A 23,255-nucleotide genomic window follows, 5' to 3' on the forward strand; every position below is an offset into this window, starting at 1 on the left:
GACATAGGGACAGCCCAGCTGACATTATTTGACCCCTTACAGGCACCAGGAATTTACTTGTCTAATCCCCTGCATTTTCACAGCAGCCCTATGAGGTGTGTTCTGTTATGTTCCTGAATTGAACATAAGTAAAGTGAGGTAGAAGTTGCACAGTGAGCAAGAGGAGAGGCCGGACTTCACCCCAGGCCATCAGAATCCAGGGTTGAGCTCCGAAGTCTCATGCTAGTCCATGGCCCGAGCCTGGGAGGAGGTCACCCCGTGTCAGAGGACCCTTCCCCTGTCCCTGTCTTGTGTCGTGAGGAAGGCCAGACAGGGCCCTAAGTGCTCTGAGCAGCTGGAACTCGTTGGGATACAAGTGACAGAAAAGCCAACTTTAACCAGGGGATTTCGGATTCAAGCTCCTGCACAGTCCAGGGCTACCGCTGGCTCCTGCAAGACTGGGTTCAGGCTCCATGGCGCCATCAGGGCCCGATGCCTCTCTCCCCACACCACTGTCTCCTTGCTCCTTTCACGTTGACTCCTTTCTCTGACAGGCTCCTCCTTCATGGATGTAAAATGGCTGCAGCCCCTCCGGACCTCACATTGTCTCAGCTTCAGGTCCACTGGGAAGCCACCTGCCTCCGTCCCAGCATTCCCTGCAATCATCTCATTGGATCTCACTGGGTCGGATTGGGTCACATGTCCATCCCTCAGCCAATCACAGTGGCTGGTGGAATAAATGCCCTGATTGGCTTAGGCTTGGGGAAGTCACACGGTCTTGCCTGAGGAGTTCTGGAGCCTTTTCCAAAAGACAAGTCTAAGAGCAGGAAGGGCCCCCTCAGCAGAGATGCACTGGCGTGGGCTCACCAGGGAGAGGGAAGAGACAACGCTTGGCACAGCCCACAGCACGGCTGCTCATAAACACTCACAGCCCCTCCGTGTCAGAGGACCTTCCCCACCACTGACATCAGGCTGGGCCATGTGACTGCCTTTGTCCATAAAACTGGAGAGGAAGTGAGGGGCGTGGCTTCTGGGCAGCAGCTTTAGTGCTTCATGAGTTATTCGTCACGTTCTCTCTCCCTCCCTCTGAGCAGCAGGAAGTGCAGATGGCGAGGACGAGACGCCCAGCCAAGGGACAATGGACGAAGAGCGTGAGCGGGGGCGAGCCTTTCCCTTCGTGAGCAGCTGGGATCGGGGATGTTTGTTACCGCAGGGCAGCCTAGCACGTCCCGGCTGGTTCCCACTTACACACACAGTGCGCGTTTGTCACGGACCAGGACCTGGGCATCTCTGGGGCTTGTTTCCCTACAGAGCCAAGTCTGCAGGGCACCCAACAAATAACCCCCAAGTCACTGTTCACGCTGCTCCTGCTCCCCCGGGCTCTGGGTGGCTCCTTCCCCCTCCAGAGCCTCCGGAGCCGCCCGTGCTCCTTGCTCCAGCCTGAAGCACCCAGGAGGACCCAGCAGCAGGTCAGGAGCAGTGACAAGCTCCTGAACCGTGGAAATGAGTCTGGTTTCCATCGATTTCCTCGGGGCCTCTGGGCTTGGGTGTGATGAGTTTCTGCCCTGGATCAAATAGCTGGAGGGGAGAGCTGGCCTCAGATGTGCACTGGCGGCCAGAATGTTCCCCAGAGTCACACAGGGCCAGGCCTGCAATGCAGCATTTGCTTAGCGGCTGACCCATTCTTCCGCGCACTCGGAGGCATGGACACCCCCAGAAGCAGTCCCTCCTCCCCGCGACGTGACGCGGCCTGTGCATTTTCAGGTGAGGGACGGCCGGTGTCATCGTTGGAGCTTCCTAAGACTCCCAGAGGCTGATGCACCTCCCAGACCCGCCTCCGCCCGGCTCCCTGGGCCCTGCTCCAGGGGCTTCATTGCTCCCTGCCCCGGGTCACCCCTCGGCTCACCGTCTCTCAGGTAGGCGTCTTCACATCAGATTTGTGGCTTTTCTGTTAAAATTCTTCACAAACTGGCTGTGCCCTGACAGGCGGGGCCCAGGGCTGAGCAGGGGCCTTGTGGAGAGTGAGTCCGGGCTCCTACCAGTTCGGATTGTGGGACTTCAGTCTCCTCTTCTGGGGATAAGGGGATAAGGGTGCCTTCCTCCCACGTGGTTGGGATTGCCCGGGGCCATGTGTGGACATCAGCGCAGCCTGGGGATACACCAGCTCTCACTCGGGTATTGCTGTCCCTGGGGAGACGGAAGGAGCAGCCGACTTGCACCGAGAAGAAAGCAAAACACTCTCTCGTGGTTAAGGGCGTTGCGCGGTTGCTCTCACAGGGACCGGCGTTCCCTGTCGGGAGGGATGCGGCTCTGCTGTAACCCAGGCCGAAGGAGTTTCATGGCCTCTAGCTTGGAACGTTGAGAATTTTAAACCTACCCAGATGTTTCATGCCTGGCTGTCCCAGGAAAATTCTTTTTTTTTCTTTTATTTCTTTATTCTTCAATTTGGGCAAATACCTACTTAGAAAAGCAGCATAAAGCATGTGCTCCCTGCAACTCCTATGCGGGGCGGCTGCCCTGGGGTCTTAACAGGGTGTTTGGTGCAAACTGCCTCTGTTGAGCAAAGTCGAAACCAATTCTGTCGTTAGCCCCATCGATTCCAACTGTGGAAATGTATTCAATGAATTCACACCTGAACAAAATGTACGTTCACACACAGTTGCCGGAAGATTGTTTGGAGACTGGAGAACGCTCTCACAGCGCCTGGTTGGACACCGCGTGCTCAGGCACGTCATGGGGCCCCACGGGGTTCTTCCCATGGGAGCCCTGCACACCTGTGCTGACAGCAGCAACCATGGAGCTGTATCTGGCCCGGGAACGGCCACGTGGTGTGAGCTCCTATTGGTGTAAATGGGGACACAGGCAGGTGCCCCGTCCACCTATCCTGTCCCTGCTCAGTGTCACCCTCCTTGCTGAGTGGGGTCCCATTGGCGAGTTTTCAGATGAATCAAGGATGCTCCAGGTAGAGCCCCTGTTACTCCAGGCAGAGCCCTTGTCTGCGGGGAGCTGCCCCTCCTCGGGTGCCTGGAGAGGGCACATATGTTGGGGGTGGTCAGTGTGGCTCAGGTCTCCACACTACCTGCCCCCTGCTTCCCTCCTGCTGAGGCCGGGTGGACTCCAGGGAGGGGAGCCAGTGTTCTTGGGTTCACGGACACAGAGCAGGATGTGGGGACAGAAAAATCAAATCCCTGCACAGACCCCTCGGTTCTTCCCAGACATGCTCTTTTTCATGCCCAAATCACCTGGACACGCTTCTGTTGCCCTGGCTGGTTCCTAAAGTGGCCCTGATCCCTGCGTCCAGGGCGCTATCCTCACCACGTGCCTCTTCCCCCCGGCCAGCCCAGAGCTGCCCTGCCCAGGGACTTCAGTCCCAGATCCACAGCGGCTCTTGGGGGTCTCGCCGGGAAGGCTTGGGTGGGTCACTCCCATTTCCCACCATCCCACTGGGGCCTTCCTGGTTAGTTCTGGGGTCCAGACCCCTGTCTCCTCATCTAGATGGGGACAATGAGGCTCTGGGAGGGAGGTGGTGCTGGGGTAACCAGCAGGAGATCAGCAGCCAGGCCTGGACTTGTGTGTCCTCGGGTGACGTGGGGCCCTGCTGGCTGGTCTCTGGGGCCTCTCAGTCCAGGTCTGCAGCCACCTGTGGTCCTGAGGGCCACACAGCTCATGGTTTGCAACCCGGGTCATTTTTTTTCTAACTCAGTAAAGCCTGACCTCTCTGGTCACAGCCATCACTGCCAAAATCAGGTCAAAGGCAACTCCCTTGTGCACAGAGCAGCTCCACTTCTGCTGTTGACAGGTGGGAGTCCCAATGCCCTGGGGTGCGATCAGCCACACTTCTGTCTCCATGGCAGGGCCATGCGTGCATCCCCCACTCTGCTGATGGACCAGAGGCTGCCCAGCACGGAAGCCAGATGTCACCATGCTTGTCCCTAGAGCAGCCGTGCAGGGCATGGAGCAGCAGAGCTCAGAGCTTATGCAGGGCTGATAGGGCTGATGCGGGGAAGCCGGCCCCGCCATGCTGCAGTCCCCGTGCGGGAAGGAGCTCACCTGAAGGGAGTGCTCTCATTGGCTGGGAGCCTCCACTGACTCCACAGCACTCTCCTGACTTGTGCCAGACACCTTCGAAACAGTCACTGGGCTGAAAAGTGACCAGAGCATAGGGTCGAGCTGTGAAGATGAGTTGTGGATGGCAAGGGAGGGAGCAGCGCTGGCCTGGGCTCTGGCAGCCCTGCTGAGTCCGTCTCCCTGAGGATGGGCCGGGCTGGGCCGGGGCTGGCACTCCGTGATGTGGAACGGGGTGTGTTGGGGGAGCCTTTGCTGGGAAGGACTCCTGCTGAGAGGAGCCGTGTGTCGTGGAGGCTGTGGTTCCGAATCTCTTAGCAGGTGTGATTCTCTGCTTATTCGAATTAACTAAACTATAAATCATGCCTGCCACATCCCGTTCCCATTGGTTTCCGTGGATTCACTGCTCATTTCTTGTTAGAAAGTGCTGTGGGCATCAGGAGTAGCTCAGTAAGCAAAATGAAGCAGGTGCGGCAACTTCAGACAACCGAGTGTCCGCTGGGCTCTGCCTGCAGGTGTCTCCTTTTCATGAAACCAATTTGGCCCTGGTCAGCCCATTATGATAGGGAGGGTGGAGTTTGCTCCTGGGGATGGAAGGGCCGGCTCCGGGAGGATGAACCGGGGCACAAACAAGATGACACGACTGTGGCGGGTGTTCCTGCCCAGGTCCCTCTGACATTGCAGGTGCCACGCTCTGTGGTCCTGCTGCACCCACGTCCTCCTTCGTCCCATCTCAAGAGGCAGCCCAGAGCACCCGTCTCAAGGGAATTCCTTCCTAAGCCCATGTGCTCTCCCAGCACGCCCTTTAGTTCTCCTCCAATTTACAGCCTTGCTTTTTAATTCGTTTGAAATGGTGGGCTTTAAAAATAAATTTATTTTTACCCTGAATATGCTGTGAATGTAAATGAAATGTCCTTTTCCTCAACAATTACCACTTAGACAGGAATCTCCATGTTCCCTCCGTGGGCAACCCTGTCTTTTATGAACCTCCAGGGATATGTTAAACACACACAGAAACATGGAGATGTGTGTGCTTTCTAAGATAATATAGCACAGCATGGACTTATCTTCTTCAGAGTTTTTTTCATTCTTTTCCTTCCCCTACTGGTTTTTAGGATGGACATTCTGCATCTCTTGTCGCTTACCTTTTGACAAGTGCGTTTAATTCATTACACTTTCATTAATAGCCATCTCTGCCTCCTTTCTGAATTATGATTATTAATTTCAACTATTGCCCTCTGGCTGACAGGCTGTTAACATACAGTCTTCTAGCTGGGTTTGGTTTTATTTCCTCTGTCGATATTATTATTTAATAATTATTTACTATTGTACCATATACATCATTTTCTTTTCTCACTGTAACTTACTGTATTTCAAACTGCTTCTCAGTAAATTGTCTTCTTTATGCATTTCCTTCAGGAATTCTAGTAGGGAGAGGGTCCCTGGAGTTAATCCCTCCTTTTTCTGTATCTTTGAAAACAGTTCTAGTCTCATCTACCCCTCATATTTCCTACTTTCCATCTGGCCCTGTTCAGAAACGTGTGGCTCCCTCCGGGATCCCGGGAGATGGTGTCCTCCTAAGAGGTTGACCTGGAGTCACCTTGTAGGGCCTGTTCCTCCCCAGGCGCCCCTCAGGGACATCTCAGCTCCTCTCTCACCACCACCTGTAAATAGCCCTCTGTGGGGGCTGCGATAGACCCAGCTCATGGCTACAGGGCTTCACCCCTCCCTGTGGAGCCCCCACCCTCTGCCCTTGGCTTTGGGCTTGAGCCTGGGAGTGGCTCTGGCCAGCAGAAAGGGATGGGGACGGTGCAGAATCCCTCAGGCTTCCCGTGTCCACGTCCCTGGCTCCTCACCACACCGGAACAGGACTCCCGCCAGCAGCTGGGGAGACCGTTATCTAGTGCATCCTCTGAAGGCAGCAGGCTGCTGTGGGCTGAGGCGCTTTTTAGACACTTAGGAGATAATTCACAACTCATCAGGAACACCGCATCACTGCTTATGGGTGTCTCACGACTGCAGTAGGGAAAATAGGTCTCTTATTGGAAGATTAAGGAAGAAAGATTTTCTCCCTACAGACTCCTCCTGAGCAGCCATGCACGTGGCGTTTACTCCCAATGGGCGATGGGATTTTCATCAGCTTTTATGTTCAGAAGGCAGGGCACACCTGGAAGCTGTTGTCGAGGGATGGCCTGATTGAGCTCGTGAGGCCCTGGGCGTGCGGGTAGGGTCCGTTCCTGATCAGGAGCGTTCTCAGCGTTGTGAGCAGCACAGGGCTCAGAGGCTCAGAGGTCCCCAGGAGGCAGGCCCTGCAGCGTGGGGCAAGGGATGGGCACAAATGCTGGGCGCGTGCTGTGGTTGCCCTGGGAGGCCTTGGCAGTGGCGGATCCAGTAGCACAGGCATCATTGGGTATGCTCCCTGCTGGGGCCGTGGGGGTGGAGCCTTCCAGGTCCAGCCGAGGACACACGCAAGCGTGCGGCTGTGAGTGCTGGGAGGGGTGGCCCATGGCCCTGGCAGCCCCAGGCCCACACCCTACTGTGTTCTGGGGGAGATGAGATGATTTTCCTGAAATATTCTTTCTCTTCCTGGCCCCGTTCTCCAGGTGTGGAATATCCTGCTCCAATCAAAGCCATGTCACCTGCGTTGTCCAGTGAAACGTCAGCGGACAGGCGCTGCCCGGGCTCCAGGGAGCTCCTCACTGAGGCTCACTCCCTGTGCCTCTGCCATCAGCACAGGGGGACATGCCTGGCTGCCTGTGGGACCAGGGAGGACGCGCGGTGCGGGAGCAGAGCCAGCCACACTGCCGCTGCTGCACTGTTCATCTGAGTGGCGCAAGGTGAGCTGACACCCGTTGGACCCTCAGACCCCTGAGCCAGCCCCACTGAGATCTGAGCCACCGCGGCCAAACTGCAGTCACCTGGGAAGGAAGCCCCGCGTTCCGCCCCTGAGATGTGCGGCACTTTGCTGTGCAGCAGGTGCGGATGCGAGCGCCTCCAGCCGCTCCCCTGCTCCCTGGTTTTGGAAGCTTCCCCTCTCCTGGGCCTCACGGTGCTAGGATCCACCACGAGCCATTGCTTTGGTTGTTTCTCAAGTCCAGAGAAGAGAGTTTTCTGTGCAGTGAAAACCTTCCTTGTAACACTGAGCAGAGGCTCCGTGTGCATTTGGCCGCCAGCCATGGAGCAGGCTCTGAGCTTCCCCTGGGGTGTGGGTTCTCCATTTTCAGTGGATTCGATGGGGGCTTTCCTGGGTGCGTTTGCCCCCTGGGTGGGAAACAATCTCGATCACAAGGCTGCTCAAACACACTCTGTCCTCTGGGCTCTGGTGTCCGAGAGGTCTTCGTGTTCATCTCAGAAACAGGATCATAAATTAAAGGCCCTCTAAGACCCCTCTGTGTGGTCTAAGCAGGGGGATGGGTGGAGGTGTGGCTCCCACCTGACCTTCCCTCTGTCCACATATGTCCCGCCCCCCTGCTGATGGGCAGAGTCTTGTGACTAGTCCTGGCCAATGGACTTAGGGCAGGAGGGACCTGGTGACACCTGGCTGAGGTGGAGAAAAGCCCCCTGGGCCCCTCCAGCTGCACATTTCCTGCTTCCCTGACTAAGGGGCCACATGCTGTGTCCAGTGTGGGCATGAGGGTGCAGGTCATCGGGGTCCCGAGTGACTCCGTGGAACTGAGCCAAGCCCCAGCCCACTGTGCTCGTGGAATGTGAGTGAGAAAGAACTGAGGTTTTGTGCTGCTGCTGGGATTTCAGGGCCATTTGTTACTGGAGAAGCTGTCATAGGGGTCCCAGACCTGGGCCTTCTCCTCGCTTGGTGCATCTTGGGAACTCCGAGTATTACCATCTTCATCTTGAAAGTGAGAAGCATCATTGTCAAACCTCATTTGCTTATGGTGAAGAGTAAATGAGTTAACGTAGCAAAGCTTTGGAACAGCATGTGGCAAATGCAGTCACTGTGTTGGTGTTGACCATAATGAGGGGAATCAAACTTTTGAAGGTGTCGATTGCCAGGCTCAGGAGTTTTGTCTTCATTTTAGAGGGCTGCCTCTTTCACAGTGTCTCCTGCACACACTAGTTCTATAGAATATGAAGACATTGCATGAAAACAGTATTCTGCGGTAATTTTTCCATTTTTTTCAAGCAGTGCATTAGCAAAGTGAATGCATGACTTTCTTTTACTGCAGAACTTGTCAGTGCCTTTAATCTGAGGGATGAGTCTTCAGGAGAGTTTGTTGTCAGGATTTAACACTTACTCTTGGAAAAGCAGTAATGTGTGCTGGAAATGAACCGGGCAGACCCTGCTCCCATCTCCATCTGCCTCAATCTCAGTGCCCTCCACTCCCCACCAGCAGCGCCTGTTACCAAGTCACTGCACAACAACCACAAATGGAGAGTGGAGGAGCATCACTTTCCACCCCGGGATCATGACGAGGGCTCTGTAACTTCAACAAATGCGCAGAAGACGCCTGGCCTCGAGCTTGTGCAGCACCTCCGGAGCCTGCCTTCCCTTGTCACCCACGGCACCATGACTTTGGAGGGTCTCAGCTCAGTCCTCCCTCCAGAGGGGCTGTCAGTGCTGGGCAGAAAATCACCCTTCAACGACCGGGCCCAGCTGCGCTCTGTCAGAGAGCAGAGAAAGCAGGCCTCCGGGAGGTTCTCACTCCACCAAGGAGACGTCTCCACCCAGCGCTCATCCTGAGCAAGGGCACTGGGAGGAAGAAATGCAATTTTAAAACCTGTGCTGCGAATGATGACTTCTGCTGCTTCCGTCTCTGGAGAGCTCTGGGCACTTAACATCCTTCCACCCACATGCCCGAGTCTGTGCAGAAACCTCACCCACGCGGAGGAGACTGCATTTCCCAGTAGCAGATTCAAGTCCTGAACTTCCTGTACCACAAAGTGTTACCCACACTGGTGGGTGCCAGCCTGAGACTCAACTATCAGGAAAAACATGAAGAATTCAGTCCATGCCCTCAAATGCACCCATGTGGCTCCCAAACGGCAAATCTCAGCAATGAGATTCTCAGCTAGGAAAGTCCACACTGAACTCATGCAGAGGACAAAGTACATAGGCCTGGGGTTCTTGGCACCTGAGATCTCTGAGCAGTTTTCTGAATTTTCCTATTTCCTGTTGAAGACATAGGAACACGTGGCACAGAGGCACAGAGACCTGGAAACCAACAGGTGACCTCAGGGAGGTTTGTGAAGCACCCTGATGAGAAGACAGTTGGGCAGACGTGGCTGGCTATTCCCCAAGTCCATTTTCCCTCCTGGGACCAGAGCTGACTCCATTTCTCAATCTGCCTTGCAGTGAGCATAGTCAGGTAACCACCTTTATGCAGGGGAATGTAGGCAGAGGGGAATGTGGGCAGAGGGGAATGTGGGCAGAAGCTATGTGCATCACATCCAGGCCTGGGCCCTAAACTTCCCGTGATCACCTGACATGGCCCCCTTCTTCCTGTTGACTGGGATGGTGACACCCAGATGATCCTGGAAACCATATGTTGATGGTAGCTGAGCAGCCACCAGCCTGGGTCCTTGAGTGATTGCATGGAGCAGAGCCTTCCTCCCAACTGCCATGACCACTCCACATTCCTGTGAGGAGAGAAATGAGTGTTTTCCTCATGAGGTCGTTGAGTTTTAGGTGTTTGTGTGCTGACACAGCTAAGCCTGGCCCAACACACAGGATGAGGGCAGACTTTCCCCAAAGAAGAGAAAAATGGTGTTGTGAAGAGCAGAGGCAGGAGGGCAGACGTGGGAGGGTGACTGTCTCTCCCTGGGGAGGGGTGTGTGGGATGGGGCCGTGGGCCTGTGAGCAGCTGGGTGGGGGAGCTGGCAGCTGCCTTCTCACTCCCACTGGAAAGGCAGTCCCAGGGTTCTCTGAGCTGGAGACCCTCGGTCCAGCAGAAAAAGGCAGCCCAGTCCTCTTGCAGAGGAGAGAACACAGCCATGCCTAGGGGCTGCCTTTCTCCCCCAGGCTCGTGTGGCTGAACCGTGGCTACAGCCCCTTCAGTCCTGTGTCCTCGCCTCTGCCAGCAACCCCTGAGCTGCTGGGATGGCGTGGGATGTGGACCAGGAGCCCCAGTTCTCACCACTCGAGCCCGTGGGCCAGAGCCTGCCTGGCTCTATTCCTAGGTCTGCGGGAGAACTGGAGGGTATGGGAAGCTGAGTGGGGGAAGCTGTCCCCTAATCAATGGGCTGAGCAGTGGCAACGCTGTAGACATGGCACCATGCTGACCTCTTTTTGCTTTGGGTTCCTGAGCGGGGCCTTCTACCTGGACTCACACTCAGAGCAGGCTCTCCTTGGGCCCAGTGCCCTGCGTGTCCATTGGTTAGGGGATGGTGGGGGGTGAGGCCGGGCTGAATGAGGACAGATTGCGCTGTGACAGGCATCCCAACAGCAGCCTCCTGTGTCGGCTGCGGAGGGCTTGCATTTCAGAATTCATAAGCTCAGTCATGCCAAATGCAATTACTTTTATGTAACTGGAGTTAGTCTCTCTTTTACCACAATATTCTGACTGATGCAGAAAACATAATTTAGTCAATTCTAGGAAAACTCACTCAAGTTCAAAGTAATGTGGTAGAAGGTGTGGGTGTGGGGGCTTTGCAGAAACAAGAGGGAATTAACCATAACTTTAAGAAAATACATTCATTCTGCCTTGCAGGGGGTGCAGAAAGGGCACTGGGGTACTTGGGCTGTGGGGACCACGTCAGCTTCTAGCCCCGCTCTAGGATGTGGAAGTCTCTGGAGAAGGGTGGGAAAATACCCCAGGTCCTCCCTGGCCCCATCGCCCACCAGGGCCTCTCGCTGTCTCAACCCAGCCTGAGGCCAGCTGACCAGGGGTGTGGGAAGCCCAGTTCTATGCCTCTGCTCCCCCAGACCCCACAGATTCACAGCAGAGCAGGAAGGGCAGGGCATGGATGGGAGGGCATCAGGGCCACAGGCCCAGGACAGGCATGCCGACTGCTCTTGGGGGCATTTGCAGGTACACTAAGAAGCTGCAAGAGGGACACACACACACACACACACACACACACACACATACATACACACACTCACACATAGTCACACACACACACACCCCTGCCCTCCCGTCTCCAGACCTTGTGGTCACAACAACCCTCCTCCTCAGCTTCCTGGCACTGCTGGACCTGTCTTGAAGGCTCTTTTGGCCGGAAATGGATGGGCAGGGATCTGAGAGCACCTGCTATCGGGTGAGTCCTGCTTTACTCATGTCAGAGATTTAGACTAAAACAAACACAAAATGCAACAAAGACCTAAGTGTAAGAGCTAAAAGTATAAAACTCTTATAAAAAAAGTAAGTGTAAATTTTCATGGTCTTGGATTAGGTAGCACTCTCTTAGATGTGCTATCAGAAGCACATACAACCACAGGAAAAAAAATACATAAATTGAATTTCATCAAAATTTAAAACTTTTGTGCATTAAAGTTCATGATCAAAAAAGCGAGAAGAAAACCCAGAGAATGAGTGAAATATTTGCAAATCATACATCTGGGACAAGTATCCAGAATATATAAAAATTCTTAGAACTCAACAATATAAAGAAAAATAACCAAATTAAACAGTAGGCAAAGGATTCGAAGAGACCTTTGTCCAAAGAAGATACACAAATGACCAATGAGTACGTGAAAAGATACTCAGCAGCTACTCATTATGGAAGTACCACTTTCCACTCATGCTGAGGGCTATAATAAAAAACAAAACAGAAATGACAAGTGCAGTGAAGATGTGGAGAAACTGGATTTCTCATAGATTGCTGGTGGGAAAGTAACATGGTGCAACCAATGTAGAAACAGTTTGGCAGTTCCTTAAAAAATTAAACAGAGCTACCATCTGACCCGGCTTCTGCTCCTAGGTATTTATACACAAGGGAATTGCAGACATATGTTCACACCAAAACTAGTATGAGAATGTTCATAGCAGCATTATTCACAGTACCCAAAAAGTGGGAACAACCCCAATGCCCATTGAAAGACGAATGAATAAACAAAGCATGGTGTGTTCACACCATGGAATGTGCCTGTGTCCTCAGCCATGGAGAGAATGAAGCACTGACACAGGCCACCATGCGGCTGCACCTCAAAAACATAATGCCAGAAGAAAGAAGGCACACACCATGGCCATGTGTTTTATGATCCTACTCATAGAAAACGTCCAGAGCAGCCAGCACTACAGAGACAGAAAGCAGATTCATGGTTGCCAGGAGCTGGAGGTGAGGGATAGAAAATAGGGAGTGACCTGGAATGTGCATATAATTTTGAGGGTGGGGTCAGGTACTTGTCTGTTCTCACATTGCCATAAGGAAATCCCCGAGACCAGGTAATTTATAAAGGAAAGAGGTTTAATTGACTTAGTTCCACATTGCTGTGGAGGCCTCAGGAAGCTTACAATCATGGCGGAATGCACCTCTTCACAGGGCTGCAGGAGAGAGAATGAGCACCAGCAGGGGAAATGTGATACTTATAAAACCATCAGAGACTCACTCATTATCACGAGAATGACATGGGGGAAACCACCCCCCTGACTCAATCACCTCCCACTGGGTCCCTCCCGTGACATGTGGGGATTATGGGGATGAGATTTGGGTGGGGACACAGCCAAATCAAGATGAGATTTGGGTGGGGCACAGCCAAACCATATCAGGTAGTGATGAAAATACTCTGGAATTAGATAGTGGTGACTGTTGCATAAACTTAGGAATGTACTAGAAATACTAACTTGTGCAGTTTGAGATGGTGAATTCTATGGTATGTGAATGATTTAAGTTTTTAAAGCGTAAAAAATAGAAGAATTGAGCAACTGGACACATTGGGGGTGCAGGCGTGGGCAGGGCAGGCCCAGCGTTTGCACTCGGGGGAGCAGGAAACAGTCCCCACCTCTGAGGTCCCTGCGCCTGAGAGGCCTGAGTGAGGTTTTCATTTCTTCCTCGGACAGGGAGGCAAGGGCAGCGGTGGGTGGCCAGTGCGGGGCGGTGCGGGCTCCTCTCCTGGGCTTGGCTGCCTCCTGCACAGAAACTGTCCCTCCCTGGCTGTCTTCTGATGCCTAATTCCCTGGGTATCCCAGGCGCCTGATTTCTCCTTCAGGAACCTTGGTCAGTTCTGTTCCTGCCCTGAGATGCCTCACCTAGAGAGGCCTCCCCAGTCCCAGCCCCCTGGGTCAAGGCCCCCAGCCCAACGCGGCCCCTCTGACATCTCCGGAAAAAGCCCTGCTCCCACAGAGAGGGGCCACCTGCCCTACAATTTTTCCTTTTTAAATTAACTTTCCCGACATTTTCCTGTTCTAAGCACAACTCATCATTGGAGGAAATTTAGAGAATGTACACTGTACAGTGTAATACTGTACACTGTACAAGTATTAAATAAAAGGAAAAATGTCCTTCTCTATGGCCAAATCTTTCCCAAGTTACACAAATACAGACAAGTGATATGTTTTTCTTTGTTAACAAAAAATGTAACCACTACGTCCAGGTTATTCTTTTTTTTTTTTTTTTTTTTTTGAGACGGAGTCCTGCTCTGTCGCCCAGGCTGCAGTGCAGTGGCGCGATCTCAGCTCACTGCAACCTCCACCTCCCGGGTTCACGCCATTCTCCTGCCTCAGCCTCCCGAGTAGCTGGGACTACAGGCGCCTGCCACCACACCTGGCTAATTTTTTATATTTTTAGTAGAGACGGGATTTCACCGTGTTAGCCAGGATGGTCTCAATCTCCTGACCTTGTGATCGGCCCGCCTCGGCCTCCCAAAGTGCTGGGATTACAGGCGTGAGCCACTGCGCCCAGCCCCAAGTTCTTCTTAACCCTGACTTTCTCACTGCATGGTGTTTTGTAAATGGTTCTTCATGACAATAAAACAACCCTCCCAGGCCTCCGCTTCAGCGGCTGCACAGCATCCCCCAGCGCCGTCTCCATGGAGAACCTGACCCCTCATTCGTGGGGCGGAAACTCACCTGAGCTGAGCTCCAGGGCATCTCCGCGGGGAAGCGGGGTTGGTGGAGCAGCACCTGCCCTCCTCAGTGCCCCAGAGACAAACTGGCCCAGAACCCTCTTCCAGCAGAGGAGCCCCGCACCCCTGGGAATGGGGATCAGTGGGCCCTGGTGGGTGGGCTCCGCTGCAGAGGGGGCGCTGAGGCCCAGGAGGGTCCCCACAGACCAGGCAGACCAGATGGTGATGGCTTTAGTCTGGGCCACAGCAGCCTGTGCCCCTCAGTCTGCCTTTTCCATCTCAGGAAAAGCCCCACCCTCCCATCCACCAGGGGCACTGGTTTCTGCACCAGCTGCCTCCCCCTCTCCAGTAATGGCCTTTGCTTTGCCTTGGAGGAGCCCACCCCTGTTGGACGCAGATGAAGATGCCAAGGGGAGCCTGGCTGACCATGGAGCCATCATGGAGGGAGGCAGAGCTGAGGGCAGGGGGAGGTCCCAGCTGCATCACAGGAGCCCCTGGATCCAGCCACACCTGAAGGTAGCTACCCTTGCACCTCTGAGTTACATGAACCAATAAATCCCCTTTCTGTCACTGAGGCTGGAGTGCACTGGCGTGATCTCGGCTCACTGCAACCTCTGCCTCCCAGGTTCAAGCGATTCTCCTGCCTCAGCCTCCCGAGTAGCTGGGATTACAGGCATGTGTCACCATGCCCGGCTAATTTTTTTTAGTAGAAATGGGGTTTCATTATGTTGACCAGGCTGGTCTTGAACTCCTAACCTCGTGATCTGCCCACCTGGGCCTCCCAAAGTGCTGGGATTACAGGTGTGTGCCACCGCACCCAGCCCCCTTTCATTTGTAAGCCAGTTTGAAGTGGGTTCTGTCCCTGACAAATGGAGTCCTGGTTGGTACCCTTCTCTGTCCCTCACACCCCAACTTCAGTCTTCTCAGCCTGGGAAAATTCGGAGAGAAATGAGGGGGCCGTGGAGAGCCAGGTTCTGAGGCTGTGCCCGCTGCACCCCTCCCACCACTTAGGTGGGCCGATGTTTAGGAAACGCTACTTCCATCAAAGCCTTTGGTAACATCCTGGTGCCCGCGGCACCCACGACTGGAGACCCGTCCCCAGAGTTTCTGTCTGCTCTGATGAGCCCCCAGCTGCTCTCCCCAGACACCCCTGTGCTCAGCAAGACCCCAGCTCCTCTCTGATATTGGATCCTGTCCCACCTCCCCAGCTGTGCTCACCCCTGAAGCAGGAGCTTCGGAATGTCCTGGGTTTCTTGGCTCCTGCAGAGCCCCAGGGTCCCTGATAAATGTCTGGCAATGGTGGTGCACCCGGTAACTGTTCACCCACTCCCATAAATACACTGTTTACTGCTGAATTATAAAGGGTGTGGGAACAAGAGAGAGTTTCAAATCACTTCTCATTCTTATGGTTTGAATACATTACCACCATGATCTAATTAGGCTTGTATTTCATGCAGAGACCACACTTCAAAGTAAAATTAAAAAATAATTCTACTATGAGAGGAAATTAATGTTTCTAATATAAAATTTCAACCGCTGTGCTTGGCAGGCAGGGAAGCATGCAGAGCCTCGTTATCCTAATTAAGGAAGCCCCGGAAAGGAGAGCCATTAAGAGAAGTGACATTTTCCTGGACGTCTGTCCTGAGAGCTTTCCATCCCTCCCGGATGCTCCGGGTCTCTGAGCACCCCAGCCTGTGGGTTCTGACAGGACGTGGGTGGGGACAGGATGGGGCCTCAGGCAGGTGGCCCAGCCCCGTGGAGGGGAGCAGTGGTGGGGCGGTGGGGACTTGCTCAGACCCTCCTTTTCCTGCAGTTCCAACGTCGCACGGTGGGACTCTGGACAGGGTCCTCCCTCTCCATCTTCCCCTCGCTGGGACCCAGCACGGCACAGGAGGGGCGGCCAACACCATTTAGACATCAGAACTGTCCAGAGTGTTCTGCCCTCTGTCTTAAGTCACGACCCCGGATTCCCCAGGCAGCCACACACAGCGGTCTACACCGGGAGAAAGTCGCCGTGAGAACCGTGGCACCGCAGGAGGCTGTGCGTGTTTGCTTTTGTTGATCTGTTTAACTGCAGCCCGATTTATGTTTCTGGATCCTGGAATTGAGTTGACACTATCGGTAGTATGAAAGTGACAGACACCAGGATGAAGTCACTCTTGTCAGACCCAGAGGAAACAGGGTCAGGAGGCCTGGGGGAGGGGAGGACGCTGCTGCGTGTCTGAGATCAGAGCTGTTTCCAAGGACTTTCTGAAGCCCCACAAGAAGGCCCTCTGCGTCCGTCGCGCATCTCCGGCCTGGCGGGGCTTGCGTGGCTCACACGTACACGCATTTCTACGGCCAGGGTTATCTATCACCAGACATTCTTGAGGACTGCAGTGATTCTGATCAGATGCTCTCAAAAGACCACTTCCCAGTGACAACACCTCCTTCAAGAAACCGACAGCATTCTGGCTGTGGGTCCCTGGAACCAGTGAACTGTGTCAGAGCAGCTCAGGCGAACTTCTCCCCTGTGCCAATGAAAGCTTTTTCTTACCCTACCTCACTGGAGGCACCTGTTACTTGCCACAGTGCATTTGGGATTCTCATCCTCTTTTTCTATCCCCAAATAAATTCAACGTATGTGGGGATATTTTTCTCCGATGTCTTTTCTGAGGCTGACAATAGTTTATTCATACATAACCATGAGCAGCCAATCATCAATCCTGCTGCGCTGTGCTAACTGGATTTATTTTTACAACTGCTGTAAGAAAACATTTATTTCCCTAACAGACTCTGAAACTTTAGTTCATGGATTACTATAATTACACTCCCCGGCTCCCAGGTTTGTTTAAAAATGATCTAACTCAGGACATGAAACCCAGCATTTCTTTACCCTAACACTGATTTGTCTTTTTTTTGAACGGTAAGGACAAGTTTCAATAGGCTTCTGACCTAAAATATCCAGTTTTTATGACAAATTATCTGAGAACGTAATAGCTGAACTTGAAATTTTAGCAAGAAGAAAGCCGAGGTTCACTTTTTCCTTGGGTCCTGAGACTTCCTAGTGCGTTAATCTGATTTTTGTTAAATGAATCACGTGTTTCTTTTCTTTCTCCTGGTTCTGAGGCCTCCAGCTCTCACATCATAATAGGACCAGGCCCCTGAGAGGCACCGAAGTCCTCCGTGAGCGCTTCTGGCCCCTGGACCTCGGATGGAGGGACAGTTCCCTCTTTCACTCCCACGGGGGCCTGGAGGAAGTTCACCTCCCTGCTAACTGACCTTTGCAGGGAAAGCTCCTATCCTTGCGAGCAGGAGCCCCACCCACAGCCAACTGCCCTGGGTCCCGGTGCGGGACAGTTCTGTGGGTGGCCTGGACCGACTCGGTTCTCTCCCCTTTCTCACTCGTAGTTCTCAAGAGTAGTTGTAGAATGTGCAGGAACGCAGCACCCTCAGCTAGAGAGGAACTGCCTGAAACCACGCCCAGGACTTGCCCCTGTGCCTCTGGGGAATGCAGCACCTTGAGTTAGGGAAGAGCTTCCTGGGACAGTGAGGGCTTTGTTCCTCTCTCTGCTGCACGCCGGCTGCCCTTCAAAGCTTCACCCTCTGGTCACGCGTCCCCCAAGGCATGTAGCCCAGGGTGGGCCGCCTTGCAGGGTCCCTCAGCTGTGCTGAAGCAGGGCACAGTCCAGCCTCCATCCACCCTGGCAGCTTGGCTGAGCCTGGGGGATGGGCTCACTACGGACCCAGCCTTCTGTTGTTTCTTGCTGCCTGTGAGTAATAAATTTGCAGACAAATAGGTGACCGAGGCATGGTGGCCTTAAACAGCAGCCCAGGATGCGGGGGTAGCAGGTGGACCTGGCTTCCGGGCTTTGGCACAGCGATGACCCCCAGGCAGCGGGGGGGCTGTCTGGCATTGGTAATTAGTGAACCTGCTTCTCCACTGGGAGGAGTGGCCGCCCCGAGGTGAGGGCAGATCTGTGTTGAAAACTGGAATTCCGAAATGACAGTTAAATCTGAAAGGGAGACCAGGGGATGCCCAGACCTGGGAGGAAACTGCATTTCACCCCGTCAGGCCCTGTCCTTGGCCTCCGCAGCCCAGGACAAATGCTTCAGGGCAGCTTAACAGCATTAAAGCCCCCGGGCCCCACACAGGGAGAAAGAGGAAGACCACAGGCCGCCCCAGGAGCTTGTGGCCTGTGGGGCCCAGGTGGGAGCAGGAAGAAAGCTGCACCCCTCCCAGGTGGAAGAACCAGGTGAAACCAAGGGGAGAGGCCTCTCTCCTCACGGGCCCCAAACCATGTGGCCTCAGACACGTCCTGCCCTCTGTCCCCACATCCTCCTCTGTCTTGCGAGGCTGCCACAGGGCCATGGTTTAGAACAGCCGGTGACCACGGGGAGCCCCACCCCAGCCAGCCCCCTTGGCCCCACTGGGCTCCGACTTCCTTGGGAGGCTGAGGGTGACTCGATGGGAGGCAGGAGAGCACAGGGGGAATTCACTGCAGATTTAGGTGCAGGGCCTGGGGCCACCCAGAGAGTGACCACAGCCACAGCCTTGGGGCTGGGGGGCAAGGAGGGGGCATATAGGGCCCTGCCCAGGTCAGTGGGAGGCAGTGATGCAGAGGGCTGTCCCGGGGACTCTGGGCCATGGAGGATGCAGCAGGAAACCTCAGGGCATGGGGCCCACCCTGTGCCCCCTCCTTCTTTCCTCCTGCTCCTGCCTGTGCCCTTTGTTGGCCAAACCCAGGCAGGAGCTAGTGGACTCGGAGCCCGGACCCCGAGGGTCAGCCTGCTGGACACAGCCAGGGAGGCTGAGGGGCCTCCGAGCAGAGCCTGGGGTGGTGGCCTCTCCACCCACCAAGACCTGGCTTCCCGGGCTGTCCCAGTGCCCTCAGGTCCTGGTCCCACCAGCCTCAGTCCCACCATAGCCTAAGATGGGCCCAGTGCCGCCTGGGAGTCAGTGACCTGGGGAAACTCAGCTACTGTGAACCTTAAGAGGGGCTCCTGGGCGTGGCTTCTGTAGGCACAGGGGGTGTTTGGCAGAGTGGAGGGGACTCTTTGAGCAGTGAACGTTCCCCTGACCACCCGGGCCGAGAAGGTTGAGCTTGGCTCAAAGAGCATCACTTGGGGACAGTGACCCACACCTGTTGGTTTGTTCTTTCATTTATTCATTCATTCCCTCACGAATTGTGTGTCACTGAGGCTACCAAGAGGAATCAGGCACAGGTGACCTCATGGGGGACTGAACACAAGTGTGGCCAGTTCAGAGCAGGAATCAAAATCACACAGGCCCCACCCCACTCCCCTCTCACTCCTGTGCTCCCTGCGACAGGTTCCTTAATGTCTCTGTTTCTTCCTCCATAAAATGAGGGCAGCAGCCAGCTCACCTCCTGGGGTGCTGGGCTGAGTGAGTCCTGCCTGGAAGGTGCTCAGAGCAGGGCCTGGCCCAAGAGGCCCCTCAGCTCACAGCGGCCCTCACTGTGGAGCCGTGGCGCGGGTAATTGATTTTCTGGTTCTGCTGACGTGAGACTCTGCACCTGTGAGGTGGTGGCTGCCCAGTGCTGTTCAGGGAGCCTGGGCTCTGACTGGCTATTCCATGATTCAGCAACTTTGGATTCTCACCATATCCACATGTGAGTTATAGGAATTCCAAGATATGCATTTTGCAAGACAAAATGAGAGAAATAGTTCAAATCGAATATGCCCAGTTAGATTTAACACATACGCCATTTATTATCCGCTGTTCATTTCAGTCTGTGTTCTGCATCCTGAATATGTTTGCGTCTGTTCTGTATATATTTTGCAGAACCATTGGGCACTGTGTTTTGGGGTGATTTCTAAGGGCGATTTTGACCAAGCAGTTTGCCCTCTGTGCCGGCGTTAGGACAGAGTCCACATATGGTGTGTGGGTCTGCCCCATAAACAAGGGATCCGTTCCTATCTCAGGATGAACATAGAGGTGTGAAGTGAGAATTCTGGCAGTGCCCTCCCTCCCTCCCTCCAGGGTGGCAGGATCGCTGCCGCATCTCAGTCCCCACTGCGTTCTGTGCAGGCTTCTCTGTTCCTTTCTAAGAGTTGTGGCTGAATTCAGCCCTGCCATGCGATGGGATCACATCTGGCACCTGCACAGGCAGGGCCCTTGCTGTTGGCCCAGCGATCAGGGACGGTGGCCTGGCCCAGGGCAGGGGCAGGGACCTGGGAGAATGGCCCAGGGCAGCTTGGGTCTGGGGAAGAGCCAGGGGCCTGGTGGACAGCCAGGTAGGGCCGGATGGGGTTGGCAGTGACTCCTGGGCCATGGTTCTCCCTCCTGGTACCCTAGGGACGCCCCCCTTCCCCACTATGTGCTGAGTGTCGCAGAGGCTTTTGGCCTGCAGCCCCCCTTTTCCTACAGCCTCAGCTTTTCAAGAGAGAAGTGCTGGCTCCCTTGGCTCAGCACACAGTCCCCTGCGCGGCTGGCACAGAGCTGTGCCATCTCCAGTGTGGACAGACCTGCAGGTGGCCCCAGATCAGGCTCCTAAGCACTTGCTGGAGCCCGGAAGCAGAGCCCTCCTTCTATTATTTTCTTAGGACAGGCGCTCTCTGTGGGGCCAGTGCACCCTCCTGCAGGAAGCCCTCCAGGGTGAGATGGAGATGCTGAGACCACCTGGCCACACCCAGATTCCTCTCTAGGCCACTACCCCTCCACAGTCAATTAATGAGCACCTACCGTGTGTGAGGCAGGGCTGGGCAGTCTGAGCACAGGGTCCTGTGTCAGGGACAGAGTTGAACTGGACACCAACCAGTCCTGCAGTGCCGAGTGGGTGCAGGAGGGGCCGAGGCCTGGGGGACGTGGGTGGGGACACGCCCCCTGGGGAGGGGCTGGGCAGAGAGGGGCAGGGTGAGCAGGACCCGCCAGGACATAGAGGGAGCCTCGCTGGCAGAGGGCAGAGGGGTCAGGGCCCATGGGGAGGCCACGGTGTCCTGGGATTAATGAGGTTCAGCAGGGCTGGGGGAAGGTGGAGGGAGATGGATCCCAGGCTCAAGGGTCAGTCCCCTGAGGACTGAACTCTGACCTTTTCATCTCTTGCCCAGATTCCTTTCAAAGAGTCCTGGGGAGTCACACCCTACAAACCATAAAATCTCATGAAATGGGCTTTTCTATTAACCTGGTATAATGGGGCTCACCTTCCAGCCTGACTGTGGTACGGCTCAGGTGACAGACAGCAGACCCGTTCTCTTAACCCCAGCACCCCTTCTCCTGACTCCAAGACTTTAGACAAAGCTTGGCTCTCTCAGCCAGCTGTGAGCTAAAAAGATCCCGGAAACCCACCGGTGACTGGTAAGCCCCGGCCTCCCGTGGTCCCGCCTTTGCGGGCTGAGCCGACGTATCCCTTCCCTGCATGGATTCGTGATTGTGTCTGCAGGCCCTGTCTCTCTGCAATGCATGAAATCAGCCGTAACCAGCCCCTGGGGCACTCTCAGGAACTGCCCAGGCTGTGTTTCCTGGGCTGCGGGCACGCATACTGGCTCAGAATAACCTCTTTCAATATCTTGGTAGAATTTCGTTTTTCTATTGTCAGCCTGCCAAGCCCTGTCTGCCTCAGTGCTGAATGTGAGTGTGTGAGTGCATGTGAGTGTAAGTACATAAATGGGTGTGTGAGTGTGTGTGCGTTCTGTAAGATGTGAGTATGTGTGCATGAGTGTGTGCGTGTGCATGTGTGTGTGCGTGTGCATGAGCATGTGTGTTTTAGTATGTGAGTGTGTGTGTGTATCCTGCCGACTCAGCCACACCACCCCTGCTCTGCCCTGTAGAGATAGCCTGAGGCTCCTGGGCAGAAGATGGCCAGGTTCTGACAACAGGAGTGGGTAGGAACCCGACGTGGGAGGAGCCTGAGAGGAGGGCACTCCCCAGCCCCCAGCTCCCACCGCAGTGCCTCCATGTGGTCCCAACCCTGGTGGCGCCTCTGCCCTACTGTCTGTCCCCAGCCAAGATGGACCTTGCTGGGTGGGAGGTGGGTGTCTCCCTGGTCCAGCAGTTGAGGGGACTCCTGAGCCCTGCCCACTTTCCCTCCCCTTGCCCCAGCCTGGGGGAGGTTACCGCGCTTCCCTGAGCCCCCGGCTCATGAGGCCTCTCCTCCCTGCTCCTCCTCCCTGCGCCCTTCAGCCTGCATCCTCCTCCCTGCCTATCTTCCCTGCTCCTCTCTGACCCCTCCTCCCTGCATCCTCCAACCTTGGCCCTCTTCCTTGTCCCCTCTTTCCAGGCCCCCTACCAGTCCTCGCCCCGGCTCTGTGTTTCCCGCTCTCCTGTGGGGTGGCGGGGCCAGGCCTCCCTTCTGGCTGCATTCTGTGGTTCGGGCTGGGGCTAACGCACAGCCACAGAGGGGATTTTCGGGGAGCAAGTGACCATTCAGTGAACGTAGCAAAAGGTGACTCTGGCCCCCTGCAGAGAATGGCCCGGTGGCGGTGAGAGGCAGCAGGGCTGGGGGACTGCGGTTCTCCTGGGAAGAGGTGGCGGTGGTGGTGGCGGTGGCGGTGGCAGTGGGGACGGATAAACGTGGACGCAGCCATGAAAGTTAGAAAATAAACCCAGAGCCCTAGGAGGGGCGCTCCACGAGGCCCGTTGTACAGAAGGAGAAACCGACGCCAGAAAGGCACGTGGCTCCCTCGGCCACCGCCAGCCCTGGTGCCTGGAGAAGGGAAGTGGCCTCCGGTCCAGGGACCTCAAATACGCGGACCAGAAGTCTCCTCTCAAGGCCGCGTCTACCGATGGCCGCCCCGTTATCCTGGCTCTAGAAAATCTTCCTGACTGAGGCAACATTGAAATAACATGAGAAATGCGGTACGAAGTTGCTGGCACCGCTGGCCTGGCTTCAATGCCTTCATTATTCTCAGTTTGCACAGCGGGGTCCTCGTGCACAGAGTGTCACTGTCTTGGTACTCAGGGGAGCTCCCGGTGGGGAGACTGGGCAGGCTGGATGTGGGCGGCAGGGGAGCTATGGGGGACCCCATCCCTACAGGCTCCTCCCCACAGACCAAGTGCGCTGCCTTCCTCAGGTGCTGACACAGGTGCGCAGACACAGGACAGCTGGGGAAGGGGGATAGACAGAGCACAGCTGTCCCGGGCCCAGAGCCAGTGCAGGCCGCCCACCACCCGATGGAGTCAGGGTTTGGATTAGAGAAGGGGCCTTGCTCAGGTTCAGGCCTGAGCAGAACCAGGGGTTTCCAAAGCGCTGGGCTTGACTCCAACAGATTAAAGCTCATTACACCCACCTTGGGATCATTCCTGCCCTCT

The 23,255-nt window shown here is 55.1% G+C and overlaps 1 long non-coding RNA gene across 1 annotated transcript in view, besides 5 other annotated features; it reads left to right on the forward strand.

The window, feature by feature from the left end:
- LINC01257 (long intergenic non-protein coding RNA 1257) overlaps positions 1–11,904 on the forward strand; it is a 47,921-nt gene extending 36,017 nt beyond the window's left edge. Inside the window, exons 2-5 of the long non-coding RNA NR_026670.2 lie at positions 1,744–1,895; positions 6,648–6,881; positions 8,229–9,368; positions 11,178–11,904. This is a non-coding gene — a long non-coding RNA (long intergenic non-protein coding RNA 1257). The remainder of the gene's footprint in view (positions 1–1,743; positions 1,896–6,647; positions 6,882–8,228; positions 9,369–11,177) is intronic.
- Positions 3,573–4,074: an enhancer, noted in NCBI's record as "H3K4me1 hESC enhancer chr12:131689145-131689646 (GRCh37/hg19 assembly coordinates)". NCBI's record gives its function as "activates a minimal SCP1, AML or CMV promoter by ChIP-STARR-seq in naive H9 embryonic stem cells {active_cell/tissue: H9 hESC(naive)}" and the evidence as "EXISTENCE:reporter gene assay evidence [ECO:0000049][PMID:30033119]".
- Positions 17,738–17,787: an enhancer, noted in NCBI's record as "active region_7358". NCBI's record gives its function as "activates an Ori minimal core promoter by ATAC-STARR-seq in GM12878 lymphoblastoid cells {active_cell/tissue: GM12878}" and the evidence as "EXISTENCE:reporter gene assay evidence [ECO:0000049][PMID:35858748]".
- Positions 21,152–21,231: an enhancer, noted in NCBI's record as "active region_7359". NCBI's record gives its function as "activates an Ori minimal core promoter by ATAC-STARR-seq in GM12878 lymphoblastoid cells {active_cell/tissue: GM12878}" and the evidence as "EXISTENCE:reporter gene assay evidence [ECO:0000049][PMID:35858748]".
- Positions 21,452–21,551: an enhancer, noted in NCBI's record as "active region_7360". NCBI's record gives its function as "activates an Ori minimal core promoter by ATAC-STARR-seq in GM12878 lymphoblastoid cells {active_cell/tissue: GM12878}" and the evidence as "EXISTENCE:reporter gene assay evidence [ECO:0000049][PMID:35858748]".
- Positions 21,746–21,917: a silencer, noted in NCBI's record as "fragment chr12:131707318-131707489 (GRCh37/hg19 assembly coordinates)". NCBI's record gives its function as "represses an EF-1alpha promoter that drives an FKBP-Casp9 reporter gene in an ReSE screen in K562 erythroleukemia cells {active_cell/tissue: K562}" and the evidence as "EXISTENCE:reporter gene assay evidence [ECO:0000049][PMID:32094911]".

This window comes from Homo sapiens, chromosome 12 (assembly GCF_000001405.40).
Source record: "Homo sapiens chromosome 12, GRCh38.p14 Primary Assembly".
In the NCBI taxonomy this organism is placed as follows: Eukaryota; Metazoa; Chordata; class Mammalia; order Primates; family Hominidae; genus Homo; species Homo sapiens.